General features: G+C 38.0%; 1 long non-coding RNA gene across 2 annotated transcripts in view, besides 1 other annotated feature; it reads right to left on the reverse strand.

Annotated features, from left to right (window-relative positions):
- The window catches only part of LOC105369711 (uncharacterized), an 81,818-nt gene extending 68,362 nt beyond the window's left edge, over positions 1 to 13,456 (reverse strand). For both annotated transcript variants that reach the window (XR_931467.3, XR_931466.3), the window contains exons 1-2: positions 12,810 to 13,456; positions 12,148 to 12,251 (exon numbers count right to left, since the gene is read on the reverse strand). This is a non-coding gene — a long non-coding RNA (uncharacterized LOC105369711). The remainder of the gene's footprint in view (positions 1 to 12,147; positions 12,252 to 12,809) is intronic.
- Positions 18,852 to 18,931: a silencer, noted in NCBI's record as "silent region_4317". NCBI's record gives its function as "represses an Ori minimal core promoter by ATAC-STARR-seq in GM12878 lymphoblastoid cells {active_cell/tissue: GM12878}" and the evidence as "EXISTENCE:reporter gene assay evidence [ECO:0000049][PMID:35858748]".

Consider the following 19,566-nt stretch of genomic DNA (forward strand, 5'->3'; position numbering starts at 1 on the left):
ATTTGTGTGCTGGCCATTCTGGGAGTGGAAGTCATTTAAGACTCGATCTTTTCAATGAGTAACTTAAAATTTATTCTGGGAAGTATACAATTGAAAAGCATGCCGCAATAGTAAATATAAATTTCTGGATTCCATCGCTATTCACAGGTCAGATTCCAAAAACTGGCCTTGATGAAATTTCCACCAGCTTGCTAGGAAGGACAATACCCACCCAACTGCACTTAAACTTCTCTACATGTTTATGGTTATGGGAGAATCACGTCCAGCCCAGGAGAAGGTCTGGTTCCCAGGAGATAAGCTGAGTTTATAATTTTAAGGAAGGGAGTGAATGTAGCTTGTCTTCCTGGCACCAGAGAGATGAAGGGCAAGGAACAAAGATATTCTCTTATTAATGTCAGCAGGGCTATACAAATCACCAGGGGCAAATGCTCTTAAACTGATGATGTCAGTTGTCATTTATTAACGTTTTCATTCATGAAAATTTATAATGTATTAAAATAAATGGCTTTTCTTTGTTGGTAATTTGTGGATGGCCAGTATAGTTACGTCCTTTGGGGGAGAAGGTCACTGAATTTGTTTCAAATTTCTGACTCCTGAGACTGATTTCCAGGAACTGATTCTACTGGTTGGGTGAGGTGGCTCAGCAGCTACTCGAGGTGACTAAAATAGAAGGGACTCCTGATGTAAAGAGACAGCCTTGGAGGTACAGACAGAAGATGTGAAAGGAAGAGATACCGTGCATAGCAGGAGTTAGGCAAAGCTTATCCATGATCTGGGCCCTGGCAGATAGCGTTGTGCTTGATAAGTAAAGAGAATGTCACAAAAAATCAAGAGAAAATAGGAGAAAACTGATTGAAGAAGTACATGTTGCATAAAACCCCACATTACAAGGTCTAGGTTTTCCTATTATCTCACCATAGCCAACTTTCTTATCAAGTTCGCATGTCCTGTTCCGTTCCAGACTCAGCCTGGGAACTCTCCTTTCCGCTCCTTCCCTCACCCCCTCCCTTCCACAGGAGGCGTCTTGGTCACACAGGAAGAATGGGAGAGAGGTGAGGGGAAAGAATGATGTCACCCTATGTGTGAAAATTTGCATGATTGCTGTAGTATTTTCTGGACTGTAATTTCCACAGCAATTTCCTTAATGGCAGAATAGAGTGGATCAATACCAGTCTCGCGTATGGGCTGTTCTTGGGTTAGATGGCCATAGTAGGTTCAATCAGCTGGGACTGAGCAGTTGATATTGAATAAGACCAGAATTAGTGAAAAGAGTAAAACACTGTCTTTTTGTGCAAAATTTAATGGAGTGCCAAAAAATCAGTAATCAAGATAATATTTAATACAATAGTTAAAATGCAAAATTAGTGAAAAAGAAGTCCTTGAGGAAGAAATAGTAAAATTTTACATAGAGACAGGATGGCACTGTTTGTGTGTTTTACGACCCTGTGTTTTTTGCACAATGGGGGTTTATGAACCATGTGTTTTGCACATGGTTGCTGGACCCTGTGGCTTTTGCCTCCCTCACCAGGTCCTCATGGGGTAGGTTTATGAGGTTTGACAATGAGGTGTGAACAGATTATGCAATGCAGAGCCCTACATGTAGTCACTTTTTTTAGTTGTAGAACTTTAATTATCTTTTCCTGCTTGGTTCAAAACATGGAAGGGTGTTCTGATAAGTATATACATAAGAGCACACACCTTTCCTTTTGCCTCAAGCTTCGATCTGGCTCAGGGTGGCACTGATACTGAGCAATCCATTCACCTGTTAAAGAGGGGAGTAAGGAAACTTTCTGCAGAAGGGGCGAAATGTGAGACAGGTTGTGGCAGGCATCTCCAGTACATTCCTCATATATTTAAAAGCAAGGGATATCCAAGAGGATAACATGACAGTGGCAGAGGTAGTCCTGGGATTCAGATGCTGAATTGAAGGTGAAATTTGGAGTAACAGAATGAGGGCCCCATGGTATGCCCACCCCACTACACTTAAAAAATTCCTCTTCTGGGCCAGGCGCAGTGGCTCATGCCTGGAATCCCATCACCTTGGGAGGCCGAGGCGGGTGAATCACGAGGTCATGAGTTCGAGACCAGCCTTGGCCAACATGGTGAAACCCCTAAACATGGTGAAACTCTACTAAAAATGCAAAAAGTTAGCTGGGTGTAGTGGCGGCCGCCTGTAATCTCAGCTACTTGGGAGGCTGAGGCAGGAGAATTGCTTGAACCCAGGAAGCTGGGATTGCAGTGAGCCGAGATCTCACCACTGCACTCCAGCCCAGGCAACAGAGTGAGACTTCGTTTAAAAAAAAAATTCCTCTTCTATTTTTCTTCTCTTGCTAAGATAGTAAAGGAGTAGATTGTGTTTCTTTTGTTGAGGATGTTACAAGACTAAAGGAGATTGTGAGTTGACACTAGGAAGTAGAAAAACATCAAGAAATTTTAGAGAGAGCAAATGAATAATGGGGGAAAAGCCTGAAGAGGGAATTAGGACCAGACCGAACAATTTCAAATGCTGGTGAAAAGAGTCTGAATTTTAACTGTAACTTAGGACTTCTGATCTAACAGAGACACCTGGATGGTCAGTCCACTGTAGCAGAAAGATCACAGGATTTGGAATCTGATACCAGATTTGAATATAAGAACTAAAAACAAAATCCTAAGCACACCCCCAGCAGCTGACTGAAGAGACCCCTCTTGGCCAAGGGGACCCCAGAGAATCCTTAAAAACTGAGTTCCAGCCCGTGACAGGACGGGAGGTTGGACACGCCTCATTATATCCCCTCCTTTTGTAGTTCAGACAAAACTGACCAGCATTAAAGTTAAAATAGAGATTATAAGACTGACAGAATGGACTCTTTGTGACAATAAAATACCAAATTATAAACAGGACCTAAGGCCACACCAGGCCTTAAGCTGAGCTACGCATCCCTCCACGTAAAGAATAAACTATGTTCTAACTACCACAAGGTTTTTCTTTTTCTTTAGCACCTAAGCAAGCATTGACCTCAAGAAAAGCAGTATTAAAATAAGTGCAGCTCATCCACTGCTGGCTGCTGACTCACTGACTCCCCTGTTCCACAAGCCATTACTGCAGCTTTGATTGGACAAGAAACTAATTTCAATAACCTTGTCCAGATAAGAAGACCCCTAACCTTAGATGGGTTCTGGCTGGTTTACAGAGGCTGCGTACTTGAATGCCTTTGTGTCCTTGCCTCACCTTTTGACATATAGGGCCTAATTGTAATGCATTTAAATGTTAAATGTCCACCTCAAAGTGAACATGGGATGCATGTAATATGTGTGCTTGTTCAGTACACATGTCTCGGGTACTGAACCCTTCATGAATATTCATAGCTCTTCTTATAAACTTGGAATATGTATACTTAGCCAACCCCTTCACCATAAATTTCTGTCTCACCTTTCCTCCTTCAAAGTGTCTGCCAATGGTCTCTGCCAGAGGCTACACTTCCCAGCCTGTCAGCGTGGCCTCCCTGCAGGCTGTAATCCTCTATAAGGAATAAAGTCTCCTTTCTAAATTTAAAAATTTGTGATTTTTTTCAGTTGAAAAATATGGCAAAATATGTTTTTCCACATTTCAATTTTATCATCTATAAAGGGAATAAGTCACTGATTATTATATAAAGTAAGTTCAATGCATGGCTTATAAACTTACTCAATAATTATAAGCTATTCTTATTAATAAGCTCAATTACTTCAGATTTAGTGATTGAATGTAAGTGACAAGAAGTAGCTAGGAATCAAAGATTACATTGGTGTCTAATCTCAGTAAGATGTAGACAATAGTGTTTTCATGGATATCAACTCATACCAAGTTATTAGTTTTCTCTTCTACATAACAAATTTAGCCACTTAAACCAATACATAAACATTTGTTATCTCATAGTTTCTATGGGCCAAGAGTTTGGGCATGGTTTAGCAAGGTCCTCTCCTGAGGGTAACACAAGGCTGTAATGAAGGTATCAATCAGGCTGTGTTTTCTCAGGAGGCTCAACAGGCTCAAAGAATCTACTATGCTCAGCCAGGCTATTGACAGAATTCATTTTCTTGAGGCTATATAACTGAGGACTCACATTTTGTTGCAGTCCTGTCTGGAGTTCTTTGCTGTGTGGGTTTCTCCAATGTAACTGCTTAATTCATCAAGCCAGCAAGGAGTCTCTCTTGCTCCAGTCTGCTAAGTTGGAGTGTTATATAACATAATGTAATCATGGGAGTAACATCCCATCACCTTTGTCACTTTGGCATTTTCTTTTTTCTTTTCTTTTCTTTCTTTCTTTCTTTCTTTCTTTCTTTCTTTCTTTCTTTCTTTCTTTCTTCCTCTTTCTTTCTTTCTCTTTCTTTCTTTCCTCCTCTCTTTCTTTCTGTCTTTCTTTCTTCCTCTTTCTTTCTTTCTCCTTCTTTCTTTCCTTCTCTCTTTCTTTCTTTTTCTTTCTTTTTCTTCTTTCTTTGCTTCTCCCTCCCTTCCTTCCTTTCTTTCTTTCTTTCTTTCTTTCTCTCTCTCTTTCTTTCTCTTTCTTTCTTTCCTTCTTCTTTCTTTCTTTCCTTCTTCTTTCTTTCTTTCTTTGCTTCTCCCTTCCTTCCTTCCTTCCTTTCTTTCTTTCTTTCTTTCTTTCTTTCTTTCTTTCTTTCTCTCTTTCTCTCTTTCTCTTTTCTTTCTTTTTTTTTTGAGCATTGACATGACACTCCAAGGAAATGTTTATTGGAGGATTTTAGATTTCAGATCTTTGGATAAGGAATGCTGAATCAGTAAGTATAATGCAAATATCCCAAAATCCAAAATTATTTGAAATCTGAAACACTTCTGGTCTCATGAATTTTAAATAAGGGATACTGAACCCATGTAAACAATCACTGAAACTTCAGGGGCAGATACGATTTCTGGGGAAGAGAGGACACAGGAAGAAAGATACAAGAATAATGGTTGAACCTCAGCCAAGATCTCTGAAATGTGGGAAGAAGAGATGTGAGGCAAACTGCAGAGTGAAACATCACTTAGAAAATCATCATAAAAAAATTAATAAAGAGTGGCATTTAATGAGCCATGTGCATTTAATGAGCTACTCTTTATTAAATATTTTATTAATGTTAAAAAAAAAAGCCTTCGTTGGAGACCCCAGCTTGCTTCTCAACCTCATGTGCCAGGATTATTTAAAGCACTTTACAGGTATTGGCTCACCTCATCCTCACAAAACCCTGTTAAGTAGGTACTAATATTATTTCCATTTTATAGAAGTAGAAGCTGAGGCAGAAGGTTTTTAAGTAGTTTATGCAAGGTTATGCAGCCAGGCTGATGATAGAATATGGCATTTGGCTGCTAGAGAAGACAGCTGGTAGAAGCAACTTCAGAAAGCCTGGACCTCATCCATGGTAATGACTGGCCTTGTCAGGATGGAAAAGTCACTGGATCCATTGATTAAGCGAGCACCTTTAAGAGCTGTGTCAACACAGTGATGGGTGTAGCATCCAAAGGCAGGACAAGAGAGTAGAGATTTCAACTTCTGTGGCTTAACAACTACACTCAGAAAAAGGGAAACAAAGATAAGCCTTCCTTGGAGATCCCAGCTTACTTTTCAACCTCATTTTATTCGTGATGCTTATATGATGTTTTAGTCCTTTTGTGTTGCCATAAAGGAATACATGAGGCTGGACAATTTATAAAGAAAAAAGGTTTATCTGGCTGAAGATTCCACAGGCTGTACAAGAAGCATGATGTCAGTATCTGCTTCTGGTGAGGGCCTCAGGCATCTCCCACTCATGGTAGAAAGCAGGGAAGAGCAGCTTCACATGGCGAGAGAGGAAAAGAGAGGGGGAGGGGGTGCTAGGCTCTTTAACAATCAATCATTGTGGAAGCTAATAGAGCAAGAACTCATTCATACTGTGAGGATGGCAACAAGCCATTCATGAGAGATCTGCCCCCATGACTCAGATACCTCCCACTAGGCCCCACTTCCAACATCGAGGATCAAATATCAACATGAGATTTGTAGAGGACAAATATACAAACTATATTATACTACATAATTAATGGTGATGATTTCCTTATTTCCATGCCTGTATTGATTATAATATTTAATATTTTATTACATATTATGATATATCTCCAATTATTTTGTTATTTATACATTAGACAGAGTAACTGTGTAACAAACTGGTTAAGAAGTTAGACTGACATTTCAAATTGTGGCTTTGAGCTTCGCTGTTTAGCTGCATGTTGATTAGCTAATTAAGCATTTTGCTGTTGTTCAGTTTCCTCATCTAACTGTGTAGATATAATATTTAAACACATGGTGTAGTTGTGAACATTAATTTAGTTAGTATATTTAAAATGCTTTAGAGAGACCCATAAATGCTAGCTTAGTGTCACCACTTCTTCCTAATTCCCTTATGAGCAACCCATGAAAAGAACCCACGTCTTCTATTATTTGGTAATAGTCTCTCTACTTTGATTAACTAGCACAATGGAAGGCATATGGTAGCTGCTGGAAAAGTGGATAAAGAAAAAGTCATATTGCCAGGAGGAATGTATGAGAATCACAGGTGATGTTAGAAGTGAAAAATCGAAATGAAAAGTTAAAAGAAAAAATAAGATTTGTTTTCAGAGTGAAAACAAAGATTAGATATGAAAACATCCTATAAATGTGCATTTGAATAAGACTGAGAAACTGGAGGATGTGAAGAAAAGGGAACCCTCGTACACTGTTGGTGGGAATGCAAATTAGTACAACCACTATAGAGAACTGTTTGGAGTTTCCTCAAAAAAACTGAAGATAGAGCTACCATACAATCCAGCAATCCCATTACTGGGTATATGCCAAAAAGAAAGGAAATCAGTGTACTGAAGAGATATCTGCACTCCCATGTTTATTGCAGCACTATTCATAATAGCCAAGATTTGGAAGCAACCTAAGTGTCCATCAACAGATGAATGGATAAAGAAATTGCAGTACATAGACACAATGGATTACTATTCAGCCATAAAAAAAGAAAAAAGAATGAAGGACATTATATTGAGTGAAATAAGCCTCACATGGAAAGACAAACATCACTTGTTCTCACTTATTTATGGGATCTAAAAATTAAAACAATTGAATTCATGGACATAGAGAGTAGAAGGGTAGTTATCAGTGGCTGGGAAGAGTAGTAGTGTGGTTGGGTGGGAAATGGGGATGGTTAATGGGTGCAAAAGTATAGTTAGAATAGATAAAATCTAATAATTGATAGCACAACAGGGTGACTACAGTCAACAATAATTCATTGTACATTTTGGAATAACTAAAAGAGCATAATTGGATTGTTTGTAACATAAGAAAAGCATAAATGCTTGAGATGATGGATACTCCATTTACCCTGATGTGTTTATTTCACATTGCATGCCTGTATCAAAACATCTCACGTGCCCCATAAATATATACTCCTACTATGTGGCCACAGAAATTAAAAATTTTACATTAAAAAAAAAAGACTGAAAAACTGGGACATATGAGCACAAAGCAGCATTTCCAGCTCTGACCTGACATTGTTTGTACAAAGCCATCCCAAGGGCATCAATAGGATGAATGTATGAAAAAGCTTTTTGTAAATTTCAAAGCCAGAAACACACATAATACAAGTACGGATTGAACATTCCTAATCCAAAACTCTGAAATCTGAAATGCTCCAGAATTAGAAACTTTTTGAGTGCTGAGATGAAGCTGAAAAGAAATGCTCATTGGAGCATTTCAGGTTTTGGAGTTTCAGATTAGTAATGATCAAATGGGAAGTATAGTGTAAATACTCCACCATTTGAAAAACAAACCTGAAATCCAAAACAATTCTGGTCCCAAGAATTTTGGATAAGGGACACTCAACTGTATTGGATTAATGAGATGACCTGTGAGTCTGAAAGTGAGTTACAATCAAGGCTTAGTTACTTTCCTAACTAAGTATCTGGATTATCTAAGCCTAGATCAGAAGATTTTCACCCACAAACCTGCTTGAGGGTTCCTTGTCTTGTGTTCTGGAGTGGCTACACAGGTAGGACCTCCCTTCTATTTTCTAGCTCCTGGCTTGTGCTTGGTGGAAGTAAACAAAACCATTTCAAGACAACATATTATGGTAGAACCCGGTCTGAGGAACTCTAGCTGGGATGGGTGGGTATCCTAGCACTACCTGGCCAGCTCAGGAGTCAGGTCTGGCTTGGGATGAGCCTTCTAAAGCCTGAGTTTAGAGTAGGTTCTTAGTTCAGAGTCACTGAACTAAGATGGAACTGGGGTCTTAAAATGCAAGCGCATCTCCAACTCCTTCACAGGATTAGGACTGGACCAGGAATTTATTCTTAAGTATTAGAGAGTCGGTTTCCTCTTCTCTAAATTTCATAGCTCCTGTTTGGAAACTGCTCAACTCCTGCTCTAATGAGAAAGTTTCCCCCTCCCCACCCAGCCTTTTATTATATTTAATTGCATAATTACATAATTACACAGGAATAGATTATGGTTGGGACTGTTAAAGGATGCTTGAGGCAGATGTCCCAAGGAACAGATCTTGTCCTGCTGTGGGTAGTATCCTGGCTGAATGGTCTGAGCTGAGGATTAACATGAGAAAGTCTGGAGTGCGTACTCCCTGAACTTGGGGCTAGTCACCTCCAGTAAGGGCACTGTCTCAGGTTCCCAACATTGACTATGGGGTGAATACCACTGGGAAGGAAATTTGTCTAGAAATGCCAATTGCTGCTTTTTTGTTATTCTTTTTACTTTAGTATTCTTTTTCACTGTATTTTGCTTAGCTTTTTTAAAAAGAGAAATTATTTTTATATTTAAAAATTGTTCTTTGGATAAAAGCTACTTGAGAAGGTTAATGTTTGTCTCCTTTCTCTTTCTCTACTCCTTCCTCATCGTTGTTCTGCCTTTCCTAACCACTAAATTTCCACCAACACATACCTTTATCCTCTATAAAGAGAACATTTTCAGGAAGAATATTTTCACCTCTAGAGGGATGAAAATTTTTCTGTAACTCTGAGCTGAGGCAAGTGCTAGTACATAGTATCAGGCTGTAATAGCACATAGTTCTTTGGTGAGGCATGCATATAAATTTATATTCAACATAAATATATGTAATATATTCAAATACAAGTATAATATCAGGTTATGATAGTATATATTCTTTGGGGAAGTGTGCACATAATTTTAGATGCAATAATGTATTCATTGAAATTAAAGAAAAGCTTTACAACTGAATTCTTCCATATAGATATTTTGGAATTTCAAAAAGTATATAAATCACTTGCCTATTATTTTTGCTTATGTTTGCAGGCACACTGAATGGCCAGTGAGATTTTACTAATTAAGCTGCTCCTCACAGGCTTATAGAAGTAACCAAATTTCAATTGAAGCATGCCACTTCTTGGGTTAATACATCAACAAGGATATTATTTCATTTTCTTGAATACTGAGAGTGAATTCTGCTTGGCTAAGAAGTCATAAATCAATAACAGTATAATCCATGCTAAAATATATGGTCCCTGCTATCACTAATTTACAGACTAAGTGATAACACATGTTGTGGTTCATTTTATGTGTCAACTTGACTGGGCCACAGATTACCCAGATATTTGATCAAATATCATTCTGGGTGTTTCTGTGTGGGTGTTTTGGATGAGATTAACATTTAAATCAGTTGACTGAGTAAGGTAGTAAACCATGATATGGATGGGTCTCATCCAATCAGGCCTGAATAGAACAAAAGGCACACACACACACACACACACACACACACACACACTCACACACATGCATACACACATGTAGAAGAGAATTATCCTACCTGCCAGTCTTCAGAATTGAATTGGGACATTGTCTCTTCTTGGTTCTGCGGTGGCCTACCAGTCTTTGAACTCAAACTGGAACGTGAGCTCTTAATTGGTTCTATCTATAACAGCTTCCAGCCTTCAGACTTGAACTAGGACATCAGCTCTTCAGATTTTGCACTGCCAGCCTCCATATTGTCTCATTTGCCATGAGCTGATTCCTTATAATAAATCTTTTTGTGTATATATATGTATATGCAATCTTTATCAATCTACATATATATATATATATATATATATATATATATATATATATATATATATATGTATATATATCTCCATTGGTTGGTTCTGTTTCTCTGGAGAACCCTGACTAATACAGATCACCATAGTTGACCTTTTTGCTATTTCTTGGAGTACTATGTCTAGTGTGTGTATACATGGTGGTGGTTGGGAATTTAGACAGAGCTCATATTACATATACATATTTGTCTTCCTGGGATTTTTCCTTTTTGCTTAACATTATATCATTTTTTTCTGTATCATATAGTTATTGGAAAACAATTTTGGAATTCTATATAACATTTCATAATATGGATATGCCATTTCCCTATTATTAAACTTCAGTTTATCTTACTTTTTTGCTAACACGCATAAAGTTGCAATAAACAATTTTGAATGTAAAATTTGCCTTCATTTCTGATTGTTTCCTTGTGGTAGATTCCTATAAAGGGAATTGCTAGGTCTTGTTCATGCTCTGGCCAGCAGAGCCTGAGAGTATCTTGGTCCCATGAGCTCTGGTACCTGAACAACACTTTTGATAGTGAGGATGATTAATTAAGGTACAGGGCAGTGGCTTAAACAAGTATACTTGCCTGTCCCTCACCACCATCAGAACCTCCTAGGACTGGGGCCCAAGTGGTTATATTTATAAAACTTTCAAAGGGGTTTTAATGGTCAGCCTTGCCTGAGAACTCCTTGAAAGCCTCCTACATACTTTTGACGTCTAGGCAATATGCATACTTGACTTAAACTTTTCTCCCAAGTGCAGCCAGCTAGAAAACCCATGCATTCCTCAGTGACCCAGCTCCAGAATGAGTTTTGTCTGTTTTTTTGTGCTTGCTTTTGTGTCACTCTTGAATGCCAATATGTTCATTATTCTCAACTCTCACTTTTGTATAATCATGCTGTTGGCGCTATTTTGATCCTCTTCCATCTGGCCCTATTGATATTCAATGAGAGAAAAGTGAACAACATCCAGCTATCTAGGCTCCTATGGGGTCTACCCTTCATCTCCCCTCCCTCTGCCTGCTCAGAGGTTGACTCTGTTTGCCTTGAAGAAAGGCTGAGTCAATACTCCCTTCTTTCACAACTGGTTTTCCTTTCTTCTTCTTTCCTGTGCCATAATTTTCTCTTCTATAATCATCTAACCATATAAGACTACTCCAGTTCGTCTTCTTGATCACTGTCCTACTTAAGAACCTCTGGACATTCTTTGTCACTCTTCTTAAAACCACTGATGGATAGTATCATTCTACAGTGCCTGGATGGGGATTGTGTCTTTTGTTAATTAACAATAAAGTCATTGATGATAACAATAGTTATTCTTTTCTCTCTTTTAGGGGTATTTTGTATTTCAGTGAAATATTACTGAGAGACAGATCTTAAACCTAAAGAAACAAATCTTCACAGATAGTATTTTGCAAATAATGTGGTTGTCTGGTAGGGACTTGGGGAGTTTTTTGCTAATGGTGACTCATTAAATGTCATCAAATAAATGAAAACATGTTTTGTTAACAAATGAGAGGGTCCTGAATTACAGACATGATAGTTTAAGTTTGTAACCATACTCTGGCATGTAAAATACCATGCATTCTGTGTGGAATGTAATTTAAAATTCAACCACCCATAACACCAATGCAAGAGAGTAATAATAAGGAAAACTGAGGAAGTGCATAGGAACTCTGTCTACTTTCTGCTCCATTTTTCGGTAAACCTAAAACTGTCCTAAATGTAGTCTATTAAATAGAAAAGTTCAACAACTCTATGAGGTAGGAACTTTCATAGAATTCGCCTGTAGGTGAAGAACCAGAGACTTGAGCAAAGCTGGGTGGAAATTGTTAAAGACCAAACTCATGATCATCACCGATGCTGCTTCTCTTCCTCCCTTATGGAAGCTGAATCCCAAACAGGCCTATTTATGCTTTTCCTTCACATTTATCTTCAAGGACCCTGGAAAAATTTGTCCCTGAGTTGAGAGCGGGGGAAAAATGTTCATTGAAGAGTCAGCACATGAGCCTACACAGGATTTGTGCAAATTGAGAACACCCAGATTGCCTTATGTTTATTCTTACCTCTGATAGTGAGAACACGACAATGCTGTAGTTTCTCACCACTCCAAGTTAGTTCCAAAACAACTGAAATCAAGTTACTTCACCTTTCATATGTAGAGATCTCCCTGTGCAAAGAATAAAGAAAACCATTCTTCTCAGAAGCCAAGGGTGTAATCCATGGGGATACGCCAGTATCTCTGCTGAAAGATCCACCATTCCTGTTTATGATGGCAGAGGAGGCACAGAAAGATTCTGAGAGCCTGCAATACTTTTAGCAGGCATCTGGCATTTAAGACAAGGCCATTTATCCAGAAAACTGCCTTCTCTTTCAGCTTGGTAACCATGGACACTAGCCAGAGTGATTTTGGCCCATACCCGTCCTTTCTGAATTCCTCTAAAGGGTGAGGGAAGGAAAGGAGAGATTTTTTTTTCTTTTTGGTAAATTAAATTAAAATCAGTGAAAATATCTATTTCTGTAGGTTGAAAATCCTTGGATAGTTACAAAGCTCTGATTGTATGAATAGAAAGCCAACTGTTTGATAAATGTAAAAACAAACAAAGCAACAACATACACAAAATCTTTTTTTTTTTTTTTTTTTTTTTTTTTTTTTTTTTTACTTTTTAAAATGGGCTAAGTTGAGACCTCATAGTTCTGAAGCCAGGGCACACAGATTTTAGCTTACCTTCTCTGGTCTGGCACCTTCCTTCTATTGGCAATAAGTTTGGCTTGTACAGTGAGATTCTGAAGAGAGGTCTGAGTTTGATTAACTGTGCCTTTATGAATAACATCCTCAGAGAATTCCAAGCCGTGTTTAGATTCTTGACGGCAGCCGCCATGGAGCACTGCTGTGTGGCTAAGCTGTTCCTTGCAACAGAAGATTCTGACAGATTATAACTCTCCCAACCTATAGCAATCATCACCTTTTTTGCAGGGCGATAGTCCTAAAATTTTCATTTGACTCACCCCTCGGCTGATTTGTCAGTTTACTAAGAAGTATCAAATCCATTTTAAGATGCAGTTCTCTCCCTGCTGAGAAGTGGCTTATCAGACATGGACTTGAGATATTCTCAGAGGATAAAGAGGTGGCTAATTAGAAGGTTAAGACCCATAGAAGAGAAGGGAGAAATTCCTTATGATTATTTTAAGCAGAGGCACGTCTTACTAGTTCAGTTGTGGAGCCTTCCCTCAGAGAGTTGCTGTCTGTGGACTATTCTGATCCGGAGAAATAGCCTTGCTAACACTCCTGGGGCACACCCATGGCGAATCCAGCTACTGAACGGACGGACTCTCTCAGTTGGTCTGTCTGCCAGTTGGTAGATGCAATTGAGTGGAAAATCAAATGGCAGTTCATGTTTTTTCCTTCTCAACAGAGACCACCAAAGGGGGGGAAAAGTCATAAATCTTTCCTGTGTTAATTGAGAACACTGGATGCCATTATTAAAGCATTTCCCTCAGGGTCACACTACTCATTTGAATCCCAGTCCAAGTTTGTTGAAATCATAATGGTAGTAGGCATTATTATGTCACAGGGTACCACATTACAGCATGATTGCTTTTCATTCCACATGGTTCACAAAGCAAAATAAAATTTGAATACTCAATAGTATGAGTTATAATTAGTATGTAAATCTATATTTTCATGATAAGAAAATATTCCAGTTGCAATATACTGCATTGATCATTCAATTTTCTCTTCACTGTGCTATTAAAGTTGCAAAAAATTCATACTATATTCTGATATGCTACCTCCATTCTGCAGAAGAGGCAAAAATCTCAGCACTATCATATGTCATATGTATGTGTGCCTTGGAGAATAAAAAGGCTATTTGCTGTGTTGACTTAAAAAAAATAAGCCATTTCTCTAAGAGAATAATTTCTAGATGAACAGTCATCTTTATTGTAGTGGGAAAGTCCAGAATGACTAAGCAAAATTGCCAAGTCGGTGAGTTTATTTGCACCTCCTCCTCAATCTTTTTTCTTTTTAGGAACTTCTCCCCCTCCTACCCTAGCTGCCAAAGATAATCTGCTAATGCCTGTGCCAGGACAATATCTCCAATCAGATTTTCCAGATGATACCTCCTGCTCTGGATCTTTCTTATTATCTACTCTCTTCTCACCTTCTTCACCAAACTCTATCATAGATTCCTTCAGGAACAGTGACCAAAGATAAATAAACAGAATTTCATTCAGTGCTATATGTCTCAACAGTGACAATGGAGAAAAACCTTCAGACTTCTATATGAAACTTATTTTCAACTCACAATTTTATGTTTAGCCAAACTAGCCGTCAAATGGAAGGCCATAATGACAATCTTCTTCACAAAGGCAAGGCAAAGACTCCAAAGGTTTGTCCTCCATAGACCTTTTCTTAGAAAGTTACTAAGACATGTTTTCCAATAAAACAAGGAACGAAGTCAAGAAAAGCAGGACACGGTTTTCAGGAACTACTGGATTAAAAGCAGGAAAACAGTGGCATCTTTGTCCCAAATGCATTGATTTGAAGAAACCCTAGAAAATTGACATTGGAATAGATGGAGCCCTCTAGATAAGCCTTGGAAAATTTTGAGGTTCTGTTAGAGGAAAAAGACCTACGATAAAAACAGATGGCTTTCAACTTAACTGTAGGATCATTTTTTCTTTGAGTGGCGTAGGAATTATGATATTGGATTATGATGTATATAGGACATGTAACAAAGAAATGTAAATATAACACACACTGCTCTCAGAGTTTAATAATTTGTATGTGGGCACATAGTAAAGATCGCTAATTGGTTTTTAACTTCTAGAATCAAATTATAAACCAAGCACAGAAAATGATTATAATTCTAGAATGGAATATTAGTGTTTTCATCTTAGAAGAAGGGAGGAAACGTAGACGCAAGTATTGGAGTACTAGTGTCTTCATTTTGCAAAATGGGAAGTTGAGGTACTCTTTGTGTTTGATAGGAGCGCTCTAGTATGTTGCTTTAAGTTGCAAAGTGACTAGTGGAGTATCTGAGGGCAGTAGTGTTACTAAACTAGGATTAAGTAGTACGTCAGTCAGAATTCTTAATTGTAAGCAACAGAGACCAACTCTGGCTCACTTAAGAAGAAAAAGTGAAGAACTTAGAGGACTGCAGAATCTTGGACTTTGCAGCCCAGGAGCAATTTGAATAATCACCCAGCAAAATTGGTCTAATAACGGAATTCCTCTCGTCGCGGGGTGCAAGGCAGGAGAGATTGTATTATAAACACAAGTGGCATGAAGACTGGGTGCTTCAATTAGCACTGCTGCTGCTGCTACCCAGAAACTCAATCTTACCACAAATGTGTTAATATCTGTTGATTCCAAGTCTGAGGTGGTATGTCTGATTTGTAGAGCCTAGCTCACATGCATGAACCCAGGTGCAAGGAAGCTTGAGAAAGTGAGTATCTGGTGTTTTCAGTTTCTCTAGCCAGAAGCTACCTCTACCTCTCACCTTATAAGATGGGAAAATTTCCCAAAATAGCAAAGGGTTCAAATGCTGGGTGGACAAAAAAGAAACAAAACAAAACAAAGCAAAACAAAACAAAACAAAACAAAACAGATGTTCACTGAAGGCTGGGAGGACAGAAAGTGAGAATTGGTTTAAGAGAGCTAAATTACCATCTACCATACTAGGAAATCAATTGAAAATCTCTCTAGTTGGTAAATTTTAAAAAGTGGTATCTGTATTATTTAGGTATATAGGGGTAACCCTTCAAAGAACTTAAAACAAATATTAAACATTAAAAGTGGTTATTTTAGAGGAAGTGAGACTTGTGGAAAGGTGTGGGAAATTAGGGAAAGTATTCACAAGAAATCTTTCCCTATACATGGAAATTTTGTTATCAGGTACATATATTATTTGGAAAGCAAGATGTTTTAATTCAAAAGAAAATTACAAGTCAACTGCTTCTGTGTGAAAAGAGAATGAGAAGAAAATAATTTTGGAATTAAAATATCCTCCCAAAAGTTTAATTCTATGACTATTGCTTGTTTTATCACAAGTTTTTATCCCTGAGATCCTGAATTGCAAAAGATATAACTATATAGGCATTTGTTGAGTGGATAAATGAGTGAAAGGAAATATTATTTTATGTCTAATAATAATATCAAGACTATGAAATTAATCATATATTTTGGGTCCTATTGGTGGGATTGTCTAGAAAGCTAGAGTTAAGAAATATCAAGTCATTCTCTTCTGTAACTCTTGTTCATAAAGACAAAATGCACTGCTTGTGGAATTCAAGCACTGACCAAACTTTGACCAATGTCTTCATCTGAAGAAGAAGAGTACTGAGGTTTTAATTGATAACAGAATGCAAATATCATCCAAATAAACACTTGGTAATAGTTGTTCACTGTTTACAGAGATAAAGTCAAGTTCAGTTTTTACTGCCTTAAACTATCTTAGAATGTATTTTGTCTATACTTTCCAAAAAAAATCCTGCCCATAATTTTCCCAAAAATAAATAAATGTTTTAAGGTTAAAGAATTGAAACACATGTGAGCATTTATTAAGAAATAAATAAATATTTATTGAATCAATCCAATTCATAGAAAATTAAATGAATGCAGGTATAGCATTTAAAAGGCAAGAAGTTAATGAAAAAAGAAATTAAGGGGGAGAATTAATAATGGGAAAAATATCTTGAAAATTCTAGAAGAAATTTATGTCATTCCTGCAGTGTGTAAGAAATGCTAAATCTGGTGATAGGCTAGTGAGTTAATGCCAAGTTCTGGGGTTCAAACTGGAGGGGTAGAAGGCATCCACCAGCACCCCCAAGACCCATCACCCAATCAAAGCAGATATGACTTCATCTTGAAGTCCCCTAAAACAAACAAAAAGATGCCATTGTGTTTTGAACAGATAAAAATCTGATCAAAACACACCCTAAAATTTGTGAAGAGAAGATTTGGAGAGCATGCTTTCATTAGGAAAACCAGGCCTGGGCAGGTAAATGTAGGGATGGATTAAGAGTGAGGGGGTAAGGCTGGGCATGGTGGCTCATGCCTGTTATCCCAGCATGTTTGGAGGCTGAGGCAAGAGGATTGCTTGAGCCCAGGAGTTTGATACTAGCTTGGCAACATAGCAAGACGCCCTTTTCTGCAAAAAATTAAAAAATTAGCCAGGTGTGGTGGTGTGTGCCTATAGTCCTAGCTATTTGGGAGACTGAGGTGGGAGGATCACTTGAGCTCAGGAATTGGAGGCTGCCGTGAGCTATGACTGCACCACTGCACTCAATCCTGGGTGACAGAGTGAAACCCCCCTGTCTCTAAAAATTAAAAAAAAAAAAAGACTAAGGGGTGAAGGTGTTGGAAAATTCACATGCCCCAAGGGTGACACACACAAAAAAGAAGTTTCCAGGTAGCCTAACACATCCCACTATCCATTAATTCTGCAACAATGTTGTGAAGAGGGGAGGAGGAGATAGGAGAGGTAGGTGGCATAAATGGTTAGACATATAGGAGCTTTCCTTTTTATGAGAAAAATCTACTTCTCTTTCAAACTGCATTTTCCAAGAGAGAAATACCAAAGATATTGAGAGTTTATAGAGATTAACCAGAGAAAGCAAAAGCATAAAATCTGTTGTTGTTGTTTTCTGAAAATAACAAAAGGCCTGGACTTTCAGAACACTAATGTTTTCTTTCACCATTCACAGTGGAGGGCCTTCTGGTCCAATACTGGTCCAAGCCCCTGGCTGGGATGGGTGGTGCAAGTGAAGTCATCCCTTCCTTGATTGAGTGATGTGTCTTGGGAGTGGAGCGGGCTGTCTTCTGCTTGTGCAGTTGGGACCCCAGAGCTTGGCACTGGCCTACTAGCCTATTACCAGGGAACACTTCTCTCTTCTATTACCCATGGTAGGGTGTCTGCAGCCTGGAGGGGAAAGTGCAAACTCTTTCATCAGGAACAAAATTATGTAACCTATGGCTCTTTTATCACCACAAGGGTGTGGCTCCTGAAGCTGGAAAGGAAGGCAATAAATAGCTTTCAAGTGTTTCATTTTAAGATTTCCAGTAAATACATTTGTTTTTACTTCTTTTGCTTTGAGAGGCTTTTGAACTTTATTCTTTTTTTTTTTAACTTGGGAGCATAACATTTTAACCCATCAGCATCAAGAGTCAAGACAGCATGTTATCTTGAGCAAGTCATTTAATCTCTCTGGAACTCAAGTTTTCTTTACTTGTAAAATTAACTCTCTTCTAAGGTTCTTTTCTTTAACCTTTTGTGACTTTATGATTGAATTCAGTAAGTTCATTTTGTTTCCTGTGTATTATTTGCATTTTTTTCTCTGTTTAATGAGAGACATTGTCAACCAATTTCAAGTTTTAAGCAGAGGTAAAAATTTAACTTTAAGATCTAACATTCTCCTCTGCCCCATGAAGAATCCCTTGATTATACACATGTAGGTCTGAGAGAAGGACATTTTTTTGTGTTTTTAGTGGCCTAAAAATACATCTTCACATTATTCATAATATCTGAAAGTGGAACAATCTAAATGTCCATCAACATGAATGAATAAATTAAATGTCATTTCTCTGTATATAAAATGTGATGTTATTAGGCAATTAAAAAGAAATGAAATACTGATATATGTTGCAATGAATGATTCTGCAAAACAGTGTAAATGAAAGAAGCCAGTCACAGCTGACCATATAATAATATCCAGAATAGACAAATCCACAGAGACAGAAAGTAGATTAGTGGATGCCTATAGTTACCCTAAAAATTAGGCTCACGCTTTCCCTAACTTCCCCCACCCTTTCACAAGTCTCACTTCCCCTAAAATAACCACTTAATTTTTAGTATTAGTTTTAAGTTCTTTGAATGGTTACCCCTATATGCCTAAATAATACATGTACTGCTTTTTAGAATTTACCAATTAGAGAAATTTTGCAAAGATTAGAAAAAATATAATTCTGAGAAAAAGGAATTTTTTTTTTTTTTTTTTTTTTTTTTTTTTTTTTACCCATTTTGGGTTTACTGACTAGGCCCTGCACAAAAGACAGATTAACAAGAGAAAAAAGTGCAAATCTACCTAATATGAGTTTTACATGACACAGGAGTCATCACAAGGAAATGAAAACCTAAAGAAACAGGTAAACCTGAGTGTTTTTATATTAGGTTTGGTAATGAGTGGAAAGTCATGGAAAAATGTGATGGACAAAGGGCTAAGGGGTAATAAACAGGAAACTTAGTGAGGCCTGTTTGTTCGTTTCTTCTTGGTGTCCCTCCCTCTTTGGAGATAAGGACCCTAAGGAGAAGTACATTGGGTATAGAAAGGGCACCTGTCCCCTGAGGATCCTGTGATCTGCTTCAGGGGATAGTCAGAGAGTCCTTCCTCCACTTGCCATTCCTTAAATACCTTAAGCCTAAAATATTTAAGATGCCAAGATCCATATTTTGTCATAGCCTGTCCTGAACCCCGTCCCTTAG

The sequence above is a fragment of the Homo sapiens genome, chromosome 12 (assembly GCF_000001405.40).
Source record: "Homo sapiens chromosome 12, GRCh38.p14 Primary Assembly".
In the NCBI taxonomy this organism is placed as follows: Eukaryota; Metazoa; Chordata; class Mammalia; order Primates; family Hominidae; genus Homo; species Homo sapiens.